The 27,257-nt window shown below is 40.3% G+C and overlaps 1 protein-coding gene across 12 annotated transcripts in view; it reads left to right on the top strand.

The window, feature by feature from the left end:
* The window catches only part of ADAMTSL3 (ADAMTS like 3), a 385,720-nt gene that overhangs the window by 185,849 nt on the left and 172,614 nt on the right, over positions 1 to 27,257 (top strand). For 6 of the 12 annotated variants that reach the window (XM_011521823.3, XM_017022434.2, XM_011521822.3 and 3 more), the window contains exons 8-9: positions 9,671 to 9,751; positions 18,795 to 18,869. In XM_011521823.3, the coding sequence (XP_011520125.1) occupies positions 9,671 to 9,751; positions 18,795 to 18,869 (156 nt within the window). The remainder of the gene's footprint in view (positions 1 to 9,670; positions 9,752 to 18,794; positions 18,870 to 27,257) is intronic. The other 6 variants (XM_047432886.1, NM_001301110.2, NM_207517.3 and 3 more) reach the window with 1 other exon arrangement.

Genomic DNA, 27,257 nt, shown 5'->3' on the forward strand with positions numbered 1-27,257 from the left:
TGGAGGGTTTATCTGAAACATGCTAGGTTATCATGGCTGATAGCAAAACCCCTTGTTGGTGGTATTCAGTTATAAATGTAGGTGAGTTCCTCTAAAGAGAGTATGTAGAATATAAGAGGAAACCAATAATTGCATCCTGAGGAAAAGCTGAAGTCAAAGCATTTAGCCAGGGAAGAAGTTTAAGGGAATCCAACCGAGAAGGAATGAATAGAGTAAGTAGGTAAATGCAGAACTTAGCAAGAGCAGTACCATGGACCCCAAAGGAATAAGTAATTTCAAAAATGAGATGGGGGTGGCCAGCAATGTTAAATGCTTTTATGAGTTCAACTGGAATAAGGGCCCAAAAGTTTGTCTTTGGCAATTTGAAGGTCATTTGTGATGTGAACAAGAGTGATTTTGATGAACTTCAGGCTGAAATCAAAGCTTCATTGCAATGGATTGATAAGTGAAGAGAATGTATAGAGGGAAGGATTTGCTCAGGACAAGAGGAGGGGAACAGACCAACACCGTGTCAACAACTGGATAGCTCTACAGGGTTGGTTGGAGAACACCGTGAGGTGTTCCAGCCTATTGTCTTTATTTGACTCTTCATTAGGAGATAGAGTTGGCCAGTAGGAGTGAGGGCTCAGAGACTTGAGCCTGTTCCCATGAAGGAAAGAAGAAGGAACCATCAACAACAGTACAAAGATAGAGGAGTAGCTGTAAGGGCCTAGCTGAGATGGGAAACCATGAATTCATGGAGGTTCCAATTTTTGGACTTCATGAAGGAGGTGGCTTTGAATGGTGGTATACCAATGAGGAATGTATCCTACTGGAAATCACAGAAAACTCAACTTAGAAACATTGGAGTTTATAAGTCTTTTCTAACAAAAAGCCTGGAGTAGGCAGCTAAGGCTGGGGATGCTGTTTTACTGTGTCTTTCAGGAACCAGGCACCTTTCTCTCTTCTTCACATCCTTAGAGGATGGCTTTTGCCTACTTGGCTGCAAAGTCATTATTGGACATTGAGATGTTACATCCACATCCCAGATAATAAGGAAGAACATAGTGTGAAAAGCGTTTTTTTAAATACTGTGTTCTTTATCCAGGAAAGGATATTCTCCCCAGGGAATTTTGCTTCATTGACCAGAATTATGGTGTGTGACACCCTGGCTTCCAAGGAGGCAGGAAACCAAGTAGTTAGCATTCTATCCATTCTGCTATTACTAATATTGATCAAATGCTTTATAATTCCCAAAGTTCTCTTCAGACTTATCATTTAATTCTACCAGCATTCTTACATTATAATTTGGATAATGTCCTGCCTATTTTACAGATGAGGAAACTAAGGATGAGAAATGTTAAGAAACATCTCCCATAATTAATTATGAAAGGAAATATTGGGAAGTGGTTAAGAAATTGGGGTCCGGAGCCGCCAGCCTTCCAGGGTTAAGTCCTGGGTCTGTTGCTTATGAGCTGTGCAGAGTTATTTAAGTTATTTCACTTCCATGGGTATCTTGGATCTCTAATTTTAAACTGGGAATAACAACAGTACTGCCTTTGTAGAGCTGTTATCAGGATTTAAAAGATCAATCCATGTTGAGAACTCCAAATAGCGTAGTAACTAGAGAGTACTCAGTAAATGCTAGCTGCATTTTTGTTAAAAATATTACCCATTGGGATACTAAAGGATGTCACACTGATACGGGAGGGGGGGCAGGAAATTGAAGGGCGGGGTTCCTGGCTAGGGCTCCGCCCTTGGGCCTGTGCCCACTGGCCTGGGTGAGGACAGGGACTCTGAAAACAGAGTCCCTGTCCTCACACCCAAATGTTGCATTTTCCAAGGCCACTCTGGCCTGCCATGCCCCCCATTCTGTGTCTATAAAAACCCCAAGACCCTAGCAGTCACACACACAAGTGACTGGATGTTGAGAGGAACACACTGGCAGAAGAACACACAGACGCCGACAGGCCATTGACAGTGGAACGACAGAGACTCAGGGGGAAATTTGGCCGAGGGCGGACGGACGAGATCCTAGCTGCTAAGCGACCCGACTCCAGGGGAAGACCACCTTCCCACTCCATCCCCCTTCTGCCTCCCCATCCCCCTTCTGCCTTCCCATCCATCTACTGAGAGCTACCTCTACCATTCAATAAAACCTTGCACTCATTCTCCAAGCCCATGGTACTGGAAAAAATGGATCACACATGGGCTTGGAGAATGAGTGCAAAGGTTTATTGAATGGTGGAGGTAGCTCTCAGCAGATGGATGAGGAGGCAGAAGGGGGATGGAGTGGCAAGGGATACAGAAAGCGCTGCGATACCGAAAGCCCTCTGTCCTTGAGAAAAGGCAGAGGTTCTAACTGAGCTGATTAACAGAAGCCACCTGCGGACAGCTAAGCTGAAAGAGCACACTGTAACACATGCTGGAACTTTGGGAGCTGTAAACATTCAACTCTAGACGCTGCCTTGGGGTTGGAGCCCCAAGCTCCCCATAACCTGCCCGTCTGCATGCTCCCCCTAGGGGCTTGAGCTGCTGGGCACGGAAGAAGCAAGCCACTCCTCCTGTTGCATGCCCTGAGAGGGGGATAAGGGAACTTTGCCCCTTTCAATACCTCTTACATACTTTAAGTGTAAATGTGGGTATTTGTAAACATATTTGAAAATCAACAATCAGTCCGTCTGGGGATTGATTTTAAGAGAGCTACTGCTTGGTATGGAGGAAAACGTTGAAAGTGTGAAAACAGAGTGATTGTAGGACAAACCAAAGTTTTAGGACTCAGATCAGTGAACACAGTTTGAAGAGAGGCTATACTGAGAAGTGTTCATCCAGGAAGGCATGTGGATGAGGGGAGTAAGGGAGAAAGACAATAGCCAGATCCCGGTGTAATGGAAGTACGTAGAGTTAGTGTTGGCCTTAGAAAGTTTGGAAATCTCATCAGAAAATACCTCGTTTTGTCAGGGTCCAAGAAAGATTAGAACTTGAGATAATTCTAATTGAACCAGGGTAAATGCCAGATGAAATTGTGCCAAAGGGCAGTCTTATTTGGAGAAGTGTGCAGAAGAGGTACTGAAATGCAAGGTAGTTCATTATTCTCTCTCTCTCTGTCTCTTGATTTTCAGCTTTTGGATTACATATGCTTTTGAGAATCTATTAAAAGTTATGCATTTTCTTTCCAGGAAAATGCATGTGTATTTATAAGCCCCACATTTGCCATTCTGATTTTTTTGTGGGGTTCTCAGACCCCTGATGCCTGTTTAGGACATTCCAGGTTAAGAACCCCTAAAATGTCCTTTTTTTTAAAAAAAATCAATTTCTACGTAGAAAGGGGAACTGGAGGGCACAGATCCTTCAGTGCAGGGCATGAGTGACATGGTATAAGCCAGGAACATCCCACAGGATGCTGGCATGTTATCAGGTTCCGTATGCATGCGCTTGAGCTAAGGCTAAAGGTAGCAAAGATTCCTGCCTGCGTGAAAACACAGTCCTTCACCATCTTGATTCTAATTATGGCCCCATCATGTTTGTTACAGCTCTGAAACTGACCAGCTGAAGCTGTTTTTGGCTGGGATTTTTTCCCTAGGCCATATGGAAGCACTTCCCTATAATCATGCTTTGTGTGAAAGAAATGTAGGAAATGAAGCCATGTCTCCCCCTGAGTGTGCATCACTGGAGCCTGCAGAATCTACGCAGCTCCTACATCCACACCTTGCCAAGAATTCATTCCAATCTTCCCTGGGACTCACCCTGAGTCAGGACATGGCAACGAGATGCTGTTGGCACAGCCCTGCACTGGAGAATGTGCACAAGGCTGCACACAGAATATCATTTCCATCACGCAGTGAGGCAGACACAAGGTGTAAGAGCCTGGAGCCAAAACCTTTGCTATGAAAAATATCAGAAATTTATCCAGATACAACATACAGATTTCCTGTTCAGAGGGAGGAGGAGAGAGACGGAACTGACAACCAACATAAACAGCTTTGGATGTTGGAAAAGGAAACTAGAGGCCACTCAGGTATTAAAGAGAGAAAGCTGTAAAAACAACAACAAACATATCTGTTTAGAGAGTCTTGACTTGGCATTTAGAAACTTAGTTGTATTTCCAGGTTTGTTCCTTATTTTGGTCTTGTCCACATCAGGGCACACGTGTGTGAGGCAAATAAACAAGATCGGCTTGTCTATTCTAAGCTTTTTGTCCATTTTTACATGGTGGCAGCCAAGCCTATTGATACAGTGATACCTAAGGCCAACTGGGAACACCAGCATTTTGCTCAAGTTTTGGCAGTATGAAGATAAACACACACTCTTCTAATGCATTCCTTGACACAAATAGAATCCTGGGCTAGGTGGATCATGGGGCTGCCTCACAGTGTAATTCTTAAGATTTTTTCCCTTCATCCACTGTTCATTTCTCCTTTGACTGTCACTCCCAAAAACCATTTACAAATTTAACTTATTCCATAGCAAGGAAGATTGTGTAGGATATAAAGGGTCTGCTAACATGGTAACATGAATTGGTTTTCATTCTCCTGTCTTCCCACATCATCTCTTTCTACCTCCACATTCGTCTTTCTAGGGTGAGATTCTGGCTGGTCATACTCTTCTATCAGAACTGCGATTGAGAAAGGAATATTCAAACCAAAGACCCTGTTCCTTTTAATGGAATTAAAAGTTTCACCCTCCTCCATTTAATTCAGCAAGGGAGAGTGTGGCCTGGAAGGAAGACTCTGTGACTAGAAATAAAGACTCCTGGGTTCTAGTCCTTGCCTAGCTCTTTTGCATGGTTTTGTTTGTCTTCTGGCCCTGTGCATGAAGAGAGATAATGGAAAAATAGCATGTAGACTGTGTTGCAAAGGAATGTCATAGATTGTATTTTACATGGAGAAGCAGACAGACTGTGAACTCCCTGGCCTCTTCATGAATCACCTTACACCTATGATGAAATCCGCGTCCCTCTCCAAAGCCTTTAAAGCCTGTATCATCTGGCCCCTGTGTTACATCATGTGCTGCCATCTGCTCCTCATTCCCTAATCCCCAGTTACACTGGCTTTCTGGGAGATTCCAGAATGTCAGGTGCCCATTCCCCCGATGGGCCTTTGCACCGACCCATCCCTGAACCTGGACCATGTGTCTCCCTGCTCTTCAACGTAGTTACCTCTTTCTCAACGTTGAGCACAAGTGTCGCCTCCTCAGAGAGGCTTTCTTTGACCACTCTACGTAAAGTAGGCCCTTCTCTTTTCTGTTTAGTTCTTGCTTAGCCTTTAGGGAAAGAAGTGGTTATTTCATTTATTTGTCTAGTTTGCCTCTCCCACTAGTAAGCTTTGCAAGAGCAGGCACCATGTCTATGATGTCCACCATTTTATTCCTAGTGCTAGTGCAGTACTGAACACATCCTAGGAGCTCAGTTAATGTTGAACAAATGAATACATGGCCTTCGCTGGAGATGATTCTGCTTCCTGTTATGATTTCAGTGGGACTAAATGATATTGTGCAATAGAACTGGACTGGAAGCCAAAGACTGGGGTAATAACCTCAGTTTGGCCTCTGACAATCTATCTTCTTAGGCAAGATGCTTCACTTACTGCGACCTCAACTTTTTCATCTGCACAGTGAGCATGGACAATTTATAAGAAATCTTCTAGCTCTGAAAATCTATTAAGTGTGTGTAATTTGTTCATTGTTAAAAAAAAATAGATCTTAGGATTGAATGGAGTTTAGAGAAAGAAGTCCCAGGAACTTATATGAAGCAATTTTCCAAACTTTTAATAAAGGGCTTGACAGTGATGGCTTGTCTTTATTCTTAAAGGGCCCAGGAAATTTTAGATACACCACAAGAATGAGTTGGTGTGAGGTTTCCTCTTATCTCCCATGAACTGCTACTTGGTTGCCTTTTAACATGTTATTGTCACAACCTGCAAGAGGGAGGTTTAGTTTTTGCACTGACCCCCTCATTGGTATGTGAGCTCCTCAAGAACCTCATGCACCTGGCCCAGTACCTGGCACCCAGTATGTTTCCAGTAAAGGTGTGTCGACTTGACCTACACAGAATTGAAGAGCCCACTTAGACCAGCATCCCTATGGAAGCAGTCCTTGAGGAATGTGAATTAAAATCAGAAGCAGCTTATTAGTAGCCAAGCACTGCAACACCCGTGGTCACCCAGGAGACCTGACACCTGCTGACCAGCTGAGAGCACTGGGATTATTAGTAAAAATACTTATTGGGAAAATAATAGTAATAATAATGGCCCCCAGGGTTTGTATGCTTACACTGTGCTATGTATTTGTTATGTGTGACATTATTTATTCTTAACATAACCCTGCAAGGTAGGTACTACTATACCCTCCCCATTTAACAAATGGAGAAATAGGCTCAGTGAAATTAAGCACCTTGGTCAAGGTCTCACAACTGGTGAGTGGTCAAGATGGTTCTGACCTCAGAGTTCATGTGCTTAACCACCCTCCCAAAGTGTCTTCCAAGGACGGCGAGATGAGCATGAGGCGAGAGGTGCACCGAGGCTTAGAGTGGTGGGACAGGGAACAAAGATAGCACAGAAATGGAGTCAGAGGGGAGCAAAGGCTGCCTCAGCCAACCCACCCCTTGTTTCCCCTTGGCAGAGCCCAGCCAGCTCCATGGTTCCTAACCCAGGGTGCACATCAGGAGCACTTGGGGAACTTGTCCCATGTTCTAATCCTCAGGCCCCACCCTAGAATTTTGAGGGGTAAATCTGGGCAATTGCAGGTTGCCAAACTTCCCAGGTGGCCACTGGTGCATGCCTTTGGTTAACGCCTCTGCTTTTCAGTGTCTGATGCCCCACTACAGAGTCAGAAGGCAGATGACTGTTTTATCCTCACCAGCCTCCTGATTTCTTAGAGGCAGTATTATAAAGGGCAGAAAATGAGAGTTACACTATGATGCTCGAGAACATCTGGACAGATATTTGTTATTAGATGCTGTGTGACATAGTCCCATCTCCTGCATGCTGTTCCAAAGCTAGCCCTGCCAATAAGCACAGAGGCATACATTATTGGTCAGTCTGCCTGTTACCATGGTCTTTTGAGGTAAAGGCAGTTTAGGCCAGTAAATAAACATACGTCAGGTTGGGAGCAGATGTTTCTGCATAGGAGCTAAGGGCTGAAGATACTCATTTGCAGATTGAGCAATCAGAGACTTTAGTAATGTGGCCTAACAGCTCAAGGCATGCTGGTCAGTTTTCAGTTTGCAGCCGATTGTTCTCAACAAGGCAAAGCTCTGCTGTGTTCCTTCCTTCTTTTGTAAAAAATTTGCTGTTAATTTCCTACATTTGCTTTTTCTACTTTTGCTTACTGGCATACTGCATTTTTCTCACCCCCATTTGCAAAGTAGTGTATAGACAGTCCTCCAGCTGCAGAATCAGTGTTGCTACCCATTGACTTTTCCTTTTTTCGCCTTCCAAAATCCCCCACTGCTCCTACAGAATGACAGATGAGCTTGAAGCAAACCTTACTATCCTACTTTTGAAAAATTGTGCAGACCCTGTTCTGTACAATACCATGCCAGGTAACTTTTTTTTTTTTTTTTTGAGATGGAGTTTTGCTTTTGTTGCCCAGGCTGGAGTGCAATGGTGCAATCTCAGTTCACTGCAGCCTCTACCTCCTGGGTTCAAGTGATTCTCCTGCCTCAGCCTCCTGAATAGCTGGGATTACAGTCACGTGCCACCATGCCCGGCTAATTTTGTATTTTTAGTAGAGATGGAGTTTCACCATGTTGGTCAGGCTGGTCTTGAACTCCTGACTTCAGGTGATCCACTTGCATCAGCCTCCCAAAGTGCTGGGATTACAGGTGTGAGCCACCATGCCCTGCCTCGGTAACTCTTTTTAGTCTAAGTGATGACAAATAGTTATGGGTGTGTGAGGGAATTAACAAACACTTTTTTTTTTTTCAGTTTACAAAATGTTGTCACAACATTATCTCATTTTAAAAAATGCATTCCTTAAAAATAAAACCTATTTTTTTTTTGCAATTTTCTATAGGGTTCAAATTATTAGCATTAGCATGTATTTAAAAAGTTTTCTTATTTTTTAAAAAAACTACTTTATGCCTTGGGAATGGTGTGTGTGTGTGTTTGAATCTAAATAGCAGAAGGAGAAAATAAATGCAGGTTCTATAAATGTAACATGAAAAATACTCGACAGAAAATTTTGTTCAGAAAAAAAAACCCAACCAACTAAAAAAACACACACCAAAAAAATAAAAAAATAAACAAAACAAAAATAGAAAGTGGGGATGAGGTTGTCAAAGTGAGAGTCACTAAGACATCCTTTTCCTTGTTTTACCTTGGAATGTATATATTTAGGTTGATGTAGTTCCGGTTGAACTTTATAGTGAAAATAAATGATCTGATATAAATTACAGTGCTTCTGGGCTGAAACTGATGTTTATTGATTAGTTAATATTGTGTGGACAATTTATTTCCTGTACATCTTGCTACTTAGCAAAGCTGTGATATCCAGCAGGAAATGAGACATAGAAAAAATATGATGGAACAGCTGGACTTGAGCATTTATGTGTGGGAGGGAAAGTCAGTGAATCTTAGGTCAGTCCAGTGATTGCAAAATCAAACAAGTGAAACCCATAAAATGAAACTCTGTGTGATGAGTGAATTTGAGTTTATACAGCATCACTTGGTCTCATAGTAGAAGGATTTAAAAGTGTAGTTTTGGGTCCTTACCCTGGTTCTAATGCTTAGGAGCACCGTGATCTTGGGCAAGTCACTTTAACCTTATAAAATTTTAATTGTCTTAATTATAGAAATGAGTTTTCATTAGAATGAATGAGGTAACTTATCTCAAGTTTCTTAGCATGTTGCCTGGTGGCAGAGTAAGTGCTCAACATGGTTTTAATAATAACTTATACTTACCCAACGCCTAATTGGCACCAGGTTCTTTTCTAAGCCCTTTGCATATATTACCTCATTGAACACTCATAACAACCCCTTGGAACAGGTATTCCTATTCCAAGAGATTATCAAGAATCTCTTACCACCAAATTTCAATAAGACAGTTTTGGAATAATTCCAGACAATGAATGTGATCAACAGGAACCAGTTACCACCATCAACAACAAATCTAGGTGTCCCAGACATGAGCCTACTGTTAGCGACACCATAAGATGGGATGGAGAGGAAGCCTTTTCTCTCCATCTTATATGTTTTCTTTTTTAAATTAGACACGGTCGCCTAGGCTGAATGCAATAGCATAATCCTGGCTCACTGCAGCCTCGACCTTCTGGGTTCAAGGAATCCTCCTGCCTCAGCCTCTTAAGTAGCTGGCACTACAGGCATGTACCACCACACCTGGCTAATTTTTAAATTTTTTGTTGAGACAAGGTCTCACTATGTTGCCCAGGCTGATCTCAAACTGCTAACCTCAAGTGATCTCCTACCTTAACCTCCCAAAGTCCTGGGATTACAGGCATGAGCCACCACGCCCAGCCACCGTCCGCTGTGTTTTCAATAATTGGCTTATAGACCAATAGAAAATATAGGATTTCAAAGCAGGCTTAGAATCAGACCTGCTTGGCAATGCCATCTGCATTCTTCTGATAGGAGGTTTCAGGCAGTCTATACTGAGCTTGTGCTGAACCACAAGCAGCAGTCTGCTCTTTCTTACTGTACTTACAATTGCTTCCTCTCTTTATCATCGCCTCCAGCTCCAGGTCTACCTCCAGGCCAAGGGGGTCCTTTACCAGGAGGCCATTTGTCTGCAATTTATGAATGGCCCATTCTGAAGGGTAAGATAAAGAAAGCGTGGGTAATAGTCTTTGTATCAGTGCAAGTAGAATTTCAAGCAAAAATACAAAATGAGTACTTTGTTGATAATCAAAAAACAAATAGTTTGAAGAATTTGTGAACCAAATGCCATTACATCAAAATATGTAAAGAAAAATCCCCTGTAGTTATATAAGATGAAATTGAAATCAGTAAAACTTCTGAGAGACTTTAATACATTGAAGTGAGTGAAAATTACATAAAGAATCTGTGCAATATAATTACTAATGTTACATTAATAGGTAACAGAACATTGCATGGTGAGGAAATATACCTTCTTTTCAAACATTTATGCACCATAATACAAAAACTGATTCTATGCAACGCTCCAAGGAAGATTAGAAAAAAAAAATCCAAGTAAAACAGAAACCATCAGAAGAGACCTCGCCCTGCAGCTGCACCCATCCATTCCCTGCTTCCTCCCGCTACGGAGGCACAAATGTCTGTCTTCCTTTCCAAGACTAATTAATCCCTCCATCTGTGTTCTGCATTCCAGCTCCTCTGTGTCCTCAGAGAACTCACTCCACCCATCATCCCCTCTCTTTCCTTTATCTTCTTTCACTGTCTCTTTCCTATCAGGGTTAATATGACCAGCGGGTCTCTTCCCATCTTAAATAAAAGTATAATTTTAAAAATGTCTATGTATATACATGTATATACATATGTGTGTATATACATATGTGTATATATATGTGTATGTTTATATATGTGTATGTATATGGGTGTATAATATTTATATATAAAAATATTTTTAAATTATATATATATATAGAACACTCTTTTAATCACGTCTCCAGCTACGACCCTAATTTTTCACCTACTCTTTATCGCCAAGTCTTGAAAAAACTGTTTACATTTGCTGTCTCTAATTTTTCATCATCAATGTATTCCTCAGATCACAGCTTCCTGTGCCAGCTACTTGATTGAAACTGCTTTGGCAAAGCACATTAACAGTCTCTTTACTGCTCATCCAAAAGGCACTTTTAAGCCCTCATCTGCAGAGCACTTGGTACTCCTGGCTCCTGCCTCCTTAAAATCCTCTGCCTCACAGGATTCTCACTTCATTTCTGGTCAGACCTAGAACTGGGCCGTCTCTTGCAGGACAGTGAAGAAATGCTGAAAAGTTTGTGACTGTGGACCAGTCCTCCCTTTCTGCCCTTTATGACTTGAGTTCTCCCTCTCTATATCCTGCGCCCGTGCTGCTCAAAATGTGGCTCACAGTCTAGCAGTATCAGCATCACCTGGGAGGCTGCTGCTGGTCGGGCACATTCTTGGGCTCCACCCTAAACTGCTGGATCTGAATTTCTATGGGTGGAGCAGGTGTCTGTGTTTTAACAAGTTTTCTAGATGATTCATATTTAGGTAAAATGTTTGGGAAGTACTGCCTTATCAGCGTATCACAGAGACTTCTACAAATGTATGAAACTTTAGTGGAGGGTTACAGAAATGAAAGGGAATTCCAGTTTAGGAGATGATCCTTATAGGCTGCTCCTTGTTCTTAGCTTTGCCTGGGTGCTCGGCAGTGTGCTTTCTCTCCAAGAGTTATATAGTAGGCAGCTCCACCCAGAAGAACATTTTCCTCAAGTTTGAGGCTTTTTGGCTAAAATCAACTGCAAGGGATTTGATTTGCAGGGTTTCATTAAAGTGTGTAATTATCAATGGGACAATGGTTGGAATATACACATATATGCACACACACCCCTAGACAAATGCTTCCCCAAGATACCACAGCCTACATTCACAAAGATTTTGCAAGAGAGCCCAACCAATATGCCCAAATAGGTTTTCTTCAGTTCAGTAAAGCTTTCTAATTTATATGTATTTTCAAAACAATTTTTATTACATATATAATATGCTGTATATGTGTTGTAAAAAAAATCCAGAATATCCAGGCAAGGAAATTGACAAACATGTCATGTATTCAATCACACTGCCAAGAGATTACATGTGTTATCATATTAGTGTGTATCCTTCCGGGGATGAGGTGAAGTGGTTGAGGATGCATAACATATATTGATAATTTATATTGTAAAATTAATACATACTTTTTATAAAACTTAAAAAGTTTTTTAAACTTACAAAAACTTCAAATGGCACAGAAGGATATAAAATGGAAAGTAAATGTCACCCTCTACCATCCACAAACTCCTAACCAGTTCCACTTTTTAGAGGTCTAAACAGGATGAATGGTTGCTTCTATTAAGATATTTCCTATGGATGTGTATGTGTGCACCTTTCCATACAAACATGTATGCTTTTGAGAAGTATACAGAATTGATCATTAGGTATAAACTTTTTTACAATTTCTTTTTATTCACTGAGGTTTTTTTGCCTATCAGTTCTCATAATTTGGCTTGTTTTTTTTGTTTTTGAGATGGAGTCTTGCTCTGTCGCCCAGGCTGGTGTTCAGTGGTATGGTCTCGGCTCACTATGACCCCCGCCTCCTGGGTTCAAGCAATTCTCATGCCTCAACCTCCTGAGTAGCTGGGATTGTAGGTGCCAGCCACCATGCCTGGATAATTTTTGTATTTTTTAGTAGAGACAGGGTTTCACCATGTTGGCCAGGCTGGTCTTGAACTCCTGACCTCAAGTGATCCACCCGCCTCAGCCTCTTAAAGTGCTGGGATTACAGGCGTGAGCCACTGCACCCAGTTGGCTTGTTTTTTAACTGGTGATATAAAAGGACATTACATAATTTATTTAACCAGACTCATATCAATGAGCATTTAGATTTTCTCTCAGTGTTACAACAACTTTGTACTTTTGTGCAAGCATGTCTTTATGTGCTTTTAGTTCTCAAAGATACTGTAATTTCTCTTCTCTCTTCATAATCTTCTTGACATTTTGATTTTTCTGTGAACTAGTTTTTCAAGTGTCTGATCAATTCTCCTGCTAATTTGTGTTTTTTTCTTACTGATTTGTAAACACTCTGGATATTAAGAAAACAGTCTTTGCCTATAATTATAATTTTTCCTTCTTTGACATTTAATTTTGCTTAATTTTTATTTCAAATGATTAATATTTTCCTTCGATTTTCTCAAGGCATTTTTTTATATCTTGAGAGAGAGAGATTTAAATGTTGTTTTTGTAGGTTGTGTCCATTTTTGGGGGGCTGGAAATGGAGTCTCACTCTGTCGCCCAGGCTGGAATGCAGTGGCGTGATCTTGGCTCACTGCAACCTCTGCCTCCTGGGTTCAAGTGATTCTCCAGCCTCAGCCTCCTGAGTAGCTGGGATTACAGGCACCCACCACGCCCAGCTAAATTTTGTGTTTTTTAGTAGAAATGGGGTTTCGCCATGTTGGCCAGGCTGGTCTTGAACTCCTGACCTCAGGTGATCCTCCCGCCTTAGCTTCCCAAAGTGCTAGGATTACAGGCATGAGCCACCATGCGCAGCCGGTTGTGCCCATTTTTTAAAAGTTCATTCCAACATATTCTATCTTTTCTCTAGCCATTGCAAATGGGGCATTTTCTTCCATTATTTTTCTAAATGATTATTCTTGGTATTTCTAAAATCTAATAATTTTTTAATATTAATTTCTTCTTGATTTCCAATGTTTAGACTATTTTTTTCTTGCCTAATTACCTTGGCTAATCTTTTAAAAACTCTTCAGTCATACGGTGCTGACTGGTATCCCATCATTTCCCCAATTAAACAGCAGTGTTTCTAATGTTTAAGCATTAAGCATATTAATCATGACTTGCATTTATAAATGGTGTTACAAACATTTACTTTATTTTATATACAGAATTTTTATCAGGAATAATGACTGAATTTTACTAAATGCTGGAAACTTATTTGAGGTAATCAAACTTTTCTACTTTGTCTATTAATATAGTAAATTACATTAGTAGGTTTCCTAAATTTGAGCAACACTAGCATTTGTTGGGTAAACTTCATTTGTATATAGTGCATAATTCAAATTTATGATTAAATTTTCTTTTCAAATATTTTACTTAGGAATTTGGTATCAAATAGATGTTAATGACATTGGAATGTAGTTTTATCTCCAAAATTGTACTGTGTAAAATTTTCAAGCATACATAAAAGTTGATAAAATAACACAATTCACTACTGTACATTTTTTCAACTAGATTCACTAATTACTTATATTTTGCTACATTGGTTCATTATCCCTATCACTCTATCTCTATCTATCTATCTATCTATCTATCTATCTATCTATCTATCTATCTATCTAATTCCTCCATCCAACTAGCTAGCTGACCCTTGTTAATTTACAGACATCACAACACTTACTTCTAAGTATTAATACTTTAGCATGACTCTTCTAAAAATAAGGATCTTCTTCATAACATCATCTCACTAGTACACCTAAAAAATTATAATTTCTAAATATTATCTAATATCCAATCTATGTTAAAATTTCTCCTTTTATAGTTGTTTTTCCCCTTGAACTGGTCAAGGCTCACTCATTGCATTTAGTTTTTCTATCTCTTTAGTTTCTTTTTTTTTAGTGCACTTATTTTTTCATGGTATCGACTTTGTAAAGAGTTCATTCCAGTTGTATTTTAGCATGTCCCATATTCTGGATTTGTCTAATCCAGACAAAATTTGTTAATTTGATTAATTTGTTGATCTCCCTCACGTAATTCCTGTGAATTGATCAGCAAGGTCTTAGGTTTAATTAGAATTGGATTGAACATTTGTGGCAGCAGCACATCAAAAGTGATGCGTGATTTATGTTGCATCATATCAGGAAGTTGATGATGTCAGCTTGATCCAGTATTACTCACACAGGTGGTGAACTACACATACTGTGTTGTATAGATCCATGTTTCCCTGTAAGAAATCTGCAGAGTGATGCCTTGACAACGTGTAAATATTCTGGCTTGCAACAGTCTTTCACACAATGGCTTTAGTGTACATTGATGATCCTTGCCTGAAACAGTATTTAACACAGAGAGTTGCAAACGGTTATTTTCTAATTCTATCATTCCTTCTTCACTCATTCTTCTGTTTTTAAAAAAAGGTTTCTGTTTCTTAATTTCTCACTCTGTATTCAGAGATTTTTATTTATTTAATGTTTTATATGTTACTGACAATATTCTTTTTGGGTTTCAAATTGTCCAAAATGTAGCCAGTGGGAGCACTTTAAACTGTCTTCTTTTGTCATAATTCCATTGAATTTTAGACATTGCCTTGGTTTCTAGAGCAACAGGTGTTCCAAGCCCACCTTGAATTTTCCCTACTCCAGACCTGGCATTACCTGGTTTTTCATGGAGAGTTGGTTATTTTTAGTGGACTTTGTGTGTGTGTGTGTCTGTGTGTGTGTGCATATGTGTCTATGTTGGGTTACACCTTCAACACTCAGCCAAGGTAATTGACAACTTTGTTCTGGCCTTTACTTCCTGCTTCCTTAGAGTCTGTAGGTTAGCCATAGATGACAGCTTAGGACCTTCTCAGGTTGTTTCTGGGCATGCACAAAGCTCTGGCATACGCAGAGCCCCACATAGACATGCGGTCTTCTAGATTTTCAGGAATATGTTGGAGTTTTTCAAAACCACCTGTGGACATCTCATTCCCAGCTTTTTGGTTAGCTTATTGTTTTCCCCAATTGTTATCCACCACCTCATGCAGCCTCAATGTTATATAAGTATCTCTGATTGTTTTGGACAAATGCCTCCTGGGGAAAAGCTGTTTACACTGGGCAAACTCCCAGTTAGATAAACCAAAGACAGCTTTGTGAGTGAAGTCTTCCAGGGAACCACTACACAGGTCAAATAATAATTGGGAATTGGGCATTGAAGGAGCTCCAAACCCATTCTACCCCTGCAAAGTCTGCCAGGCTGCTGGTTTGCACTATGATTACGGGCTGTTGTTTTCAAGGTTACCATGGAGGTGGAGAATGGGGAGAGATGGAAATAGGCAGCTTAGCATGCCACAAAGCTCACTGTTCTTACTGAGCATTTTTCTTTGATAATTACTGCTCAGATTGTTGCAAGCCTTTGGTTAATTTCCAGAGTTTTAAAAATGTTGGTTCTGACCATGTTTTTACTGATTTTATGGAGGAGAGGATTTTTCAGAAGTCTTTATCACTTTTGCTTGTTTGTTCAAATTAGTCTCTACAAAAAATTCAAAAATTAGCCAGGCATGCTGGCATGCAACTGTGGCCCCAGCTACTCAGGAGGCTGAGTTGGGAGGATTGCTTGAGCCCAGGAGGTAGAGGCTGCAGTGAGCCTAGATCAGGCCACTGCACTCCAGCCTGGGTGACAGAGTGAGACCCTGTCTCAAAAAACAAAAACAAAACAAAACAAAAGAAAAACAACAAAGCATGATGAATGCATTAATCTTTTCTTTACTTACCAGTTTTCAAAAACGATGAGCTGTTTGCTAGCCTCCTTAAAATGACTGATGCTGTAGTATGCATCATTTCCTTTCCTTTCCTTTTTTTTTTTTTTCCCCCTGAGACAAGCTCTCACTGTGTTACCCAGGCTGGAGTGCAATGGGTTGATCATAGTTCACTGCAGCCTCAACCTCCTGGGCTCAAGTGATCCTCCCACCCCAGACTCCCAAGTAGCTGGGATTACAGGCACACACCACCATACCCACATTAAAAAAAAATTATAAAATTTTTTGGTAGTGACCAGGTTTCCCTATGTTGCCCCGACTGGTCTCGAACTCCTGGGCTCAAGCCATCCTCTTGCCTTGGCCTCCCAAACTGCTAAGACTATAGATGGGAGCCACCATGCCTGGCCCCCTCCTTTTTTTTAAAAAAAGCTAAATAAGAATCCATTGTAGGTATATACCAAAAAACATCTGTGAGAACCATGATTTCCAGTAGGTAATTGTCTAGGCCAAGGATCACGAATTTTTTCTGTGAAAGCCCAGATAGCACAGTAAATATTTTAGGTTTATTGAGCTGTATGATCTTCACTACCATGACTCAATTCTGCCTTTGTAGAGCAAAAACAGCCTTATCCATTCATCCATAGACAGATACTTAGGTTGTTTCTTCCTTTCGTCTATTGGGAATAATGCTGCCATGATCATCAATGTACCAATGTCTGTTTGTGTCCCTGCTTTCAATTCTTTTGGGTATATTCCTAGAGGTGGAATTGCTGGATCATATGGTAATTCTATGTTTAATATCTTGAGGACTTGCCATACTATTTTCCATGGTAGTTGTACCATTTAACATTTTCACCACCAGTTCACAAGGGTTCTTTTCGCCACATCCTCACCAATACTTGTTATTTTCTGCTTGTTTTGTTATTTTTTTTGTGTGTAATTCTCATCCTAATAGGTGTGAAGTGGTACCTGATTGTGGTTTTGATTTTCAATTCCCTAATAATTATTGATACTGAGCATTTTCATGTGCTTATTGGCCATTTGTATAGCTGTTTTGGAGAAATCCAAGTCCTTTTGTCCTTTTTATTGAATAGGTTGTTTTTTGTTGTTGTTGAGTTACAAGTATTCTTTATATATGCTAGATAATAACCCCTTTCCAAGATGTGATTTGCAAATGTTTTCCCCCATTCCGTGGGTTGCCTCTTCATTCTGTTCATAGTGTCCTTTTGTGCACAAAGGTTTGATTTTGATTTGGTCAAATTTAGTTTTTTTTCATGTGTTTCCTGTGCTTTTAGTGTCATATCCAAGATACCACTGCCCTATTTTTTAACCTTCCTTTTTTAAAGTCTTCAATGTGTATATTGGCAGGCTTTCCACGTTAGGTCATATAGCTTCTTATCATTACTTTTATCAGTTGTAGAGTATTCCTGAGTATGGATGTTCTTGTTTATGTAATCTTTCCCATATTGATGGACATTTAGGTACGGTTCAGTCTTTCCTTTTACATGTATACATGTTAAACAAACAAAAAATCTGGAATGGACATTCATCAAAGTGTTAGAAGTGATTATCTCTGGGCAATAGGGTTAGAAAAAGATTTATTTTGTATTTTTGTTTATCTACATTTTCTAATTTTTAATAATAAACAGGTATTTCTATTTAATAAAAACTTGCAAACTAGTCAATCAATATATTGATATCCTTTGCTTCACTAATTTCACTCTGGAGAGTTTATCCAAAAAAAATTGTTTTGCGTAAGTTAGACAAAAACATCTGCTTGAAGTAATTCGTATCATTGATAATGTTCTAGTTTCATTTAGAAACAGACAATCTTCAGAGAGGGGACTAGTGAGATAAAATATCATATATGAGCTTAGATTATTATGTGAACACAGAAATTAAATTATCAGTGTATGTAGCAGTGTGAAAAAACATCTCTGAGGACCAGGATTTCCAGTAGGTAATTGTCTAGGCCAAGGATCATGAAATTTTTCTGTGAAAAGTCAGATAGTAAAGTAAATATTTTAGCCTTATTGAGCCATATGGTCTTCATTACTACAACTCAATTCTACCTTGAAGAGCATAAACAGCCTTAAATGAATGAAGAGATGTGGCTAGATTTGGCCCAGGGGCCACAGTTTGCAGACCCTCATCAAAGCACATGGATTGGGCCATGAGAGTAAAGGTAATTGAGGTAGGCAGTGCATTTACTTTAAACGTTTCTTTAATGTTATTTAAGGGTGTATTTAAATGAAATTATGTAATATTCATCTGCTTTACACATAGTTTGTGATTTCCAAAGATTTATTTATTTTTTTCTTGAGATAGAGTCTTACTCTGTTGCCCAGGCTGGAGTCCAGTGGCACGTTCTCAGCTCACTGCAGACTCCATCTCCTGGGTTCCAGCAATTCTCCTGCCTCAGCCTCCCGGGTAGCTGGGACTACAGGCACACGCCATCACACCTGGTTAATTTTTGTATTTTTAGTAGAGATGGGGTTTCACCATCTTGGCCAGGCTGGTCTCGAACTCCTGACCTCAAGTGATCTGCCTGCCTTGGCCTCCTGAAGTGCTAGGATTACAGAAATGAAATATAGTTAAGAATATTTTGCAGACGCCCCCAGTTTTGATTGACTTGCTCATTTTCATGGGCCTTTAGTGTACTGGTTTTATTGCAGTTGCGTTCTGTTCTTTCCCAGGAGAAGAAAATGTAATTGCTGTTCCTTTGGGAAGTCGAAGTGTGAGAATTACAGTGAAAGGACCTGCCCACCTCTGTAAGTAGAATTTAATCTTAACATTTTTTAATATCCTGAAAGTTTAGTTAGCCAAAAAAAACAAAAAACAAAAAACCCACAAACCAAACCAACAAGCAAAAAAACTTTCTCTAAGTTAATGGGTAATGTTACTGAACTTGCGTCCACTTACTTGGCACAGCAAAGCTAAACACTGACATTAGGATTTGCAGCCAGAGACAGTGAGGCATTTATTGCAGAGCACCAAGCAAGGAGAATCAAACAGCTCATGCTTAAGACCTGAACTCCCAGATGTGTTACATGTAAGGATTTTTAAAGACAGGGAGATAGAAGTTACAGGCAAAGTCACAAATTAATACTGGAGGCTACGCACTGGTTTGACCTGAAAAGGTGGAATATCTTGAAGTGGGGGCTTACAGACCATAGGTAGATTCAAATATTTTCTGATTTGCAATTGGTTAAGAGAGGGAAGTTTTGCCTAAAGACTTGGAGTCAGCAGAAAAGAATGTTAGATCTGGCCCTTGGGCGTGATCTCCTCCAGGTGCCTCAGGAAGAAATGTAGGACAAAGAAAGGCAGTCAGAGTTCAGCCTCAGTTCCCTCTTACCGGAGGTCTCTGTGCCGGTGGATCCATTTGGTAGGGATCTAGATTTCCTGAAAAACTACCCAGGGACATATGTTAAAATGTTATCTTCAGTTTCTATAGGGAACCATACATCCTGTGACTCTAACTTTTTCTGGCTATTGTTTTAATCCACTATTACCTTGTTGCCTGTGAAGTTGCTCATTACTTCTCAAGGCTAGCTAGATGCCTGGAATTTCTCTTGAAGGAATTCAAGATTTTCCCTTATTTCCATTCATGGGGGTGGTGGTACCCTGTTGGGTACCCCCAACTATTCTGTAGTGGGCAAAATAGTCTATATAACCAGGGAAATTATCTGTATTGTACCCTGAATTTTTCTGTTCTCATACCCCAATGGGAAATTTGCCTGTTTAAGATTAATCCCCTCATGGGAGAATAAAAACCAAATTTTATGTCAAATAAACTATTTTTGTATAGGATGGCTGGGTGTGGTGGTTCACGCCTGTAATGCCAGCTCTTTGAGAGGCTGTGGCAGGAGGATCACTTGAGTCTAGGAGTTTGAGACAAGCCTGGGCAGCACAGGAAGACCCCATCTCTACGAAAAATTAAAAAAAAAAATTAGCTAGGCATAGTGGCGCACGCCTGTAGTCCAAGCTACTCAAGAGGTTGAGGTAGTCCAGGGAGTAGCTTGGCTACTACAGGCATGTAGTCCATGCTACTCCTTGCGCCTAGGAGTTCAAGGTTGCAGTGAGCTCTGATTGCACCACTGCAATCTGCCACTCCAGCCTGAGTGACACAGGAAGACCATGTCTCTAAAATAATAATAGTATATGGAGAGTAAAGTAAGATTTGGGAATGTTCTGGAGATTTTAGCAAAGTGGGACAAAACAAAACAAAATTTAAAATACAAAACCTTATCAGTGAATATGGCCGATCAGAACAAGCCTTGCTGCTAGCACATCACAGCTTCCCATGTAGGGGTCCCTGAAGGCTGACACTGTTTTCCCAGAATACTGTGATTTTCAAATAATAAATAGATTATTGTGATGATTTCACTCTGGGAATACACTGAAACCATTAAATTATGCATTTTAAAAGGGCAAAGTTTATGGCATGCAAAGTATATATGGAAAAGATGCTTAAAAAACAAAAAAATGCAATGGATGGTCTTGATATTCTCATGATATTAAAGGCCATTCCCCAAAATTCAGCTCCAAAACTAGTTTTATAAATTGTAAAAACAGAATAAGTAAGCAATAAATAGAATAAGTAAAGGTGAGGGAGGTGGAGCCAAGATGGCCGAATAGGAATAGCTCCAGTCTACAGCTCCCAGCATGAGTGACGTAGAAGACGGGTGATTTCTGCATTTCCAACTGAGGTACCGGGTTCCTCTCTCTGGGGAGTGTCGGAGAGTGGGTGCAGGACAGTAGGTGCAGCACACTGAGCCTGAGCCAAAGCAGGGCAAGGCATCGCGTCACCCGGGAAGCGCAATGGGTCAGGGAATTCCCTTTCCTAGTCAAAGAAAGGGGTGACAGACGGCACCTGGAAAATCGGGTCACTCCCACCCTAATACTGTGCTTTTCCAATGGTCTTAGCAAATGGCACACCAGGAGATTATATCCCACGTCTGGCTCAGAGGGTCCTATGCCCACGGAGCCTTGCTCATTGCTAGCACAGCAGTCTGAGATCAAACTGCAAGGTGGCAGCGAGGCTGGGGGAGGGGCACCCACCATTGCTGAGGCTTGCCTCTGTAGACTCCACCTACTCCACCTAGGGGTGCCTGCCTGCCTCTGTAGACTCCACTTCTGGGGGCAGGGCACAGCCAAACAAAAGGCAGCAGAATCCTCTGCAGACTTAAATGTCCCTGTCTGACAGCTTTGAAGAGAGTAGTGGTTCTCCCAGCACGCAGCTTGAGATCTGAGAATGGACAGACTGCCTCCTCAAGTGGGTCCCTGACCCCGGAGTCACCCCCTAGTAGGGGCAGACTGACAGCTCACACGGCCAGGTACTCATCTGAGACAAAACTTCCAGAGGAACGATCAGGCAGCAACATTTGCTGTTCACCAATATCCTCTGTTCTGCAGCCTCCGCTGCTGATACCCAGGCAAACAGGGTCTGGAGTGGACCTCCAGCAAACTCCAACAGACCTGCAGCTGAGCGTCCTGACTTGTAGAAGGAAAACTAACAAACAGAAAGGACATCCACACCAAAACCCCATCTGTACGTCACCATCATCAAAGACCAAAGGTAGATAAAACCACAAAGATGGGGAAAAAACAGGAGAAAAACTGGAAACTCTAAAAATCAGAGCACCTCTCCTCCTCCAAAGGAACACAGCTCCTCACCAGCAACGGAACAAAGCTGGATGGAGAATGACTTTGACGAGTTGAGAGAAGAAGGCTTCAGACAATCAAACTACTCCGAGCTAAAGGAGGAAGTCCGAACCCATGGCAAAGAAGTTAAAAACCTTGAAAACAAATTAGACGAATGGCTAACTAGAATAACCAATGCAGAGAAGTCCTTAAAGAACCTGATGGAGCTGAAAACCAAGGCACGAGAACGTGACGAATGCACAAGCCTCAGTAGCCAATTCGATCAACTGGAAGAAAGGGTGTCCGTGATGGAAGATCAAATGAATGAAATGAAGCGAAAAGAGAAGTTTAGAGAAAAAAAGAATAAAAAGAAATGGACAAAGCATCCAAGAAATATGGGACTATGTGAAAAGACCAAATCTACGTCTGATTGGTGTACCTGAAAGTGACGGGGAGAATGGAACCAAGTTGGAAAACACTCTGCAGGGTATTATCCAGGTGAACTTCCCCAATCTAGCAAGGCAGGCCAACATTCAAATTCAGGAAATACAGAGAATGCCACAAAGATACTCCTCGAGAAGAGCAACTGCAACACACATAATTGTCAGATTCACCAAAGTTGAAATGAAGGAAAAATTGTTAAGGGCAGCCAGAGAGAAAGGTCGGGTTACCCACAAAGGGAAGCCCATCAGGCTAACAGCAGATCTCTTGGCAGAAACTCTACAAGCCAGAAGAGAGTGGGGGCCAATATTCAAAATTCTTAAAGAAAAGAATTTTCAACCTAGAATTTCATATCCAGCCAAACTAAGCTTCATAAGTGAAGGAGAAATAAAATCCTTTACAGATAAGCAAATGCTGAGAGATTTTGTCACCACCAGGCCTGCCCTAAAAGAGCTCCTGAAGGAAGAGCTCAACATGCAAAGGAACAACTGGTACCAGCCACTGCAAAAACATGCCAAATTGTAAATACCATTGATGCTAGGAAGAAACTGCATCAACTAATGGGCAAAATAACCAGCTAACATCATAATGACAGGATCAAATTCACACATAACAATATTAACCTTAAATGTAAATGGGCTAAATACCCCACTTAAAAGACACAGACTGGCAAATTGGATAAAGAGTCAAGACCTATCAGTGTGCTGTATTCAGGAAACCCATCTCACGTGCAGAGACACACATAGGCTCAAAATAAAGGGATGGAGGAAGACCTACCAAGCAAATGGAGAACAAAAAAAGGCAGGGGTTGCAATCCTAGTCTCTGATAAAACAGACTTTAAACCAACAAAGATCAAAAGAGACAAAGAAGGCCATTACATAGTGGTAAAGGGTTCAATTCAACAAGAAGAGCTAACTATCCTAAATATATATGCACCCAATACAGGAACACCCAGATTCATAAAGCAAGTCCTTAGAGACCTACAAAGAGACTTAGACTCCCATACAATAATAATGGGAGACTTTAACAACCCACTGTCAACATTAGACAGATCAATGAGACAGAAAGTTAACAAGGATATCCAGGAATTGAACTCAGCTCTGCACCAAGCAGACCTAATAGACATCTACCGAACTCTCCACCCCAAATCAACAGAATATACATTCTTTTCAGCACCACACCACACCCAAAACTGACCACATAGTTGGAAGTGAAGCACTCCTCAGCAAATGTAAAAGAACAGAAATTATAACAAACTGTCTCTCAGACCACAGTGCAATCAAACTAGAACTCAGGATTAAGAAACTCACTCAAAACTGCTAACTATATGGAAACTGAACAACCTGCTCCTGAATGACTACTGGGTACATAACGAAATGAAGGCAGAAATAAAGATGTTCTTTGAAACCAATGAGAACAAAGACACAACATACCAGAATCTCTGGGACACATTCAAAGCAGTATGTAGAGGGAAATTTATAGCACTAAATGCCCACAAGAGAAAGCAGGAAAGATCTAAAATTGACACCCTCACATCACAATTAAAAGAACTAGAGAAGCAAGAGCAAACACATTCAAAAGCTAGCAGAAGGCAAGAAATAACTAAGATCAGAGCAGAACTGAAGGAAATAGAAACACAAAAAACCCTTCAAAAAAATCAATGAATCCAGGAGCTGGTTTTTTGAAAAGATCAACAAAATTGATAGACTGCTAGCAAGATTAATAAAGAAAAGAGAGAAGCATCAAATAGATGCAATAAAAAATGATAAAGGGGATATCACCACCGATCCCACAGAAATACAAACTACCATCAGAGAATACTATAAACACCTCTAAGCAAATAAACTAGAAAATCTAGAAGAAATGGATAAATTCCTTGATATATACACCCTCCCAAGACTAAACCAGGAAGAAGTTGAATCTCTGAATAGACCAATAACAGGCTCTGAAATTGAGGCAATAATTAATAGCCTACCAACCAAAAAAAGTCCAGGACCAGATGGATTCACAGCTGAATTCTACCAGAAGTACAAGGAGGAGCTGGTACCATTCCTTCTGAAACTATTCCAATCAATAGAAAAAGAGGGAATCCTCCCTAACTCATTTTATGAGGCCAGCATCATCCTGATACCAAAGCCTGGCAGAGACACAACCAAAAAAGAGAATTTTAGACCAATATCCCTGATGAACATCAATGCAAAAATCCTCAATAAAATTCTGGCAAACCAAATCCAGCAGCACATCAAAAAGCTTATCCACCATGATCAAGTTGGCTTCATCCCTGTGATGCAAGGCTGGTTCAACATACGCAAATCAATAAACGTAATCCAGCATATAAATAGAACCAAAGACAAAAACCACATGATTATCTCAATAGATGCAGAAAAAGCCTTTGACAAAATTCAACAACGCTTCATGCTAAAAACTCTCAATAAATTAGGTATTGATGGAACGTATCTCAAAATAATAAGAGCTATCTATGACAAACCCACAGCCAATATCATACTGAATGGGCAAAAACTGGAAGCATTCCCTTTGAAAACTGGCACAAGACAGAGATGCCCTCTCTCACCACTCCTATTCAACATAGTGTTGGAAGTTCTGGCCAGGGCAATCACGCAGGAGAAAGAAATAAAGGGTATTCAATTAAGAAAAGAGGAAGTCAAATTGTCCCTGTTTGCAGATGACATGATTGTATATCTAGAAAACCCCATCGTCTCAGCCCAAAATCTCCTTAAGCTGATAGGCAACTTCAGCAAAGTCTCAGGATACAAAATCATGTGCAAAAATCACAAGCATTCTTATACACCAATAACAGACAAACGGAGAGCCAAATCATGAGTGAACTCCCATTCAGAATTGCTTCAAAGAGAATAAAATACCTAGGAATCCAACTTACAAGGGACATGAAGGACCTCTTCAAGGAGAACTACAAACCATTCCTCAATGAAATAAAAGAGGATACAAACAAGTGGAAGAACATTCCATGCTCGTGGGTAGGAAGAATCAGTATCGTGAAAATGGCCATACTGCCCAAGGTAATTTATAGATTCAACGCCATCCCCATCAAGCTACCAATGACTTTCTTCACAGAATTGGAAAAAACTACTTTAAAGTTCATATGGAACCAAAAAGAGCCCACATTGCCAAGTCAATCGTAACCCAAAAGAACAAAGCTGGGGGCATCACGCTACCTGACTTCAAGCTATACTACAAGGCTACAGTAACCAAAACAGCATGGTACTGGTACCAAAACAGAGATATAGACCAATGGGACAGAACAGAGCCCTCAGAAATAATGCCGCATATCTACAACCATCTGATCTTTGACAAACCCGACAAAAACAAGAAATGGGGAAACAATTCCCTATTTAAGAAATGGTGCTGGGAAAACTGGCTAGCCATATGTAGAAAGCTGAAACTGGATCCCTTCCTTGCACCTTATACAAAAATTAATTCAAGATGGATTAAAGACTTAAATGTTTGACCTAAAACCATAAAAACCCTAGAAGAAAACCTAGGCAATACCATTCAGGACATAGGCATGGGCAAAGACTTCATGTCTAAAACACCAAAAGCAATGGCAACAAAAGCCAAAATTGACAAATGAGATCTAATTAAATTAAAGAGCTTCTGCACAGCAAAAGCAACTACCATCAGAGTGAACAGGCAACCTACAGAATGGGAGAAAATTTTTGCAATCTACTCATCTGACAAAGGGCTAATATCCAGAATCTACAATGAACTCAAACAAATTTACAAGAAAAAAACAGCCCCATCAAAAAGTGGGTGAAGGATATGAACAGACACTTCTCAAAAGAAGACATTTATGCAGCCAAAAGACACATGAAAAAATGCTCATCATCATTGGCCATCAGAGAAATGAAATCAAAACCATGATGAGATACCATCTCACACCAGTTAGAATGGTGATCATTAAAAAGTCAGGAAACAACAGGTGCTGGAGAGCATGTGGAGAAATAGGAACACTTTTACACTGTTGGTGGAACTGTAAACTAGTTCAACCATTGTGGAAGACAGTGTGGTGATTCCTCAAGGATCTAGAACTAGAAATACCATTTAACCCAGCAATCCCATTACTGGGTATATACCCAAAGGATTATAAATCATGCTGCTATAAAGACACATGCACATGTATGTTTATTGTGGCACTATTCACAAAAGCAAAGACTTGGAACCAACCCAAATGTGTAACAATGATAGACTGGATTAAGAAAATGTGGCACATATACACCATGGAATACTATGCAGCCATAAAAAAGGATGAGTTCATGTCCTTTGTAGGGACATGGATGATGCTGGCAACCATCATTCTCAGCAAACTATCACAAGGACAAAAAAACAAACACTGTGTGTTCTCACTCATAGGTGGGAATTGAACAATGAGAACACATGGACACAGGAAGGGGAACATCACACACCGGGTCCTGTTGTGGGGTGGGGGGAGTGGGGAGGGATAGCATTAGGAGATATACCTCATGTTAAATGACGAGTTAATGTGTGCAGCGCACCAACATGGCACATGTATACATATGTAACTAACCTGCACATTGTGTATGTGTATCCTAAAACTTAAAGTATAATAAAAAAAAAGAATAAGTAAAGGTGAACACTTTGAGGCAAAAATTCATTTATGTGTATATGTTCTGGCATATTCAACATAACTTTATATTCAAGACTGGCACTCGTCCAAGAACAGGGCTCAGAAATGTTCCCATTTCTCCAAGAGTGACAAATCTGTTGCTTGGACTATTTCCCTTTCTGAACAATCTCACAATTGGCAGTAGAAGTATTTCTGAAAGTTATCCTTCTTTGCTGATGAATAGAACTGGCTTCATTTACTAAGGACTTAGTTAACATTTCTGAATATCTAAATATAGAAGTGGTTTTATTTTCTGGATTTATGCAACTTTTTTCTTAGTTTTTATTTGTAAAAGAGATATTTCTGAAATGAAGCTTATTTTGCAGTAATAAATCATTCTTTTAATATCCACATTAACTATAACTATCCAAAAGACTGCATTACTAAGAACTGAAAATACCCAGCAACATC

Source organism: Homo sapiens, chromosome 15 (genome assembly GCF_000001405.40).
Source record: "Homo sapiens chromosome 15, GRCh38.p14 Primary Assembly".
Lineage (NCBI taxonomy): Eukaryota > Metazoa > Chordata > Mammalia > Primates > Hominidae > Homo > Homo sapiens.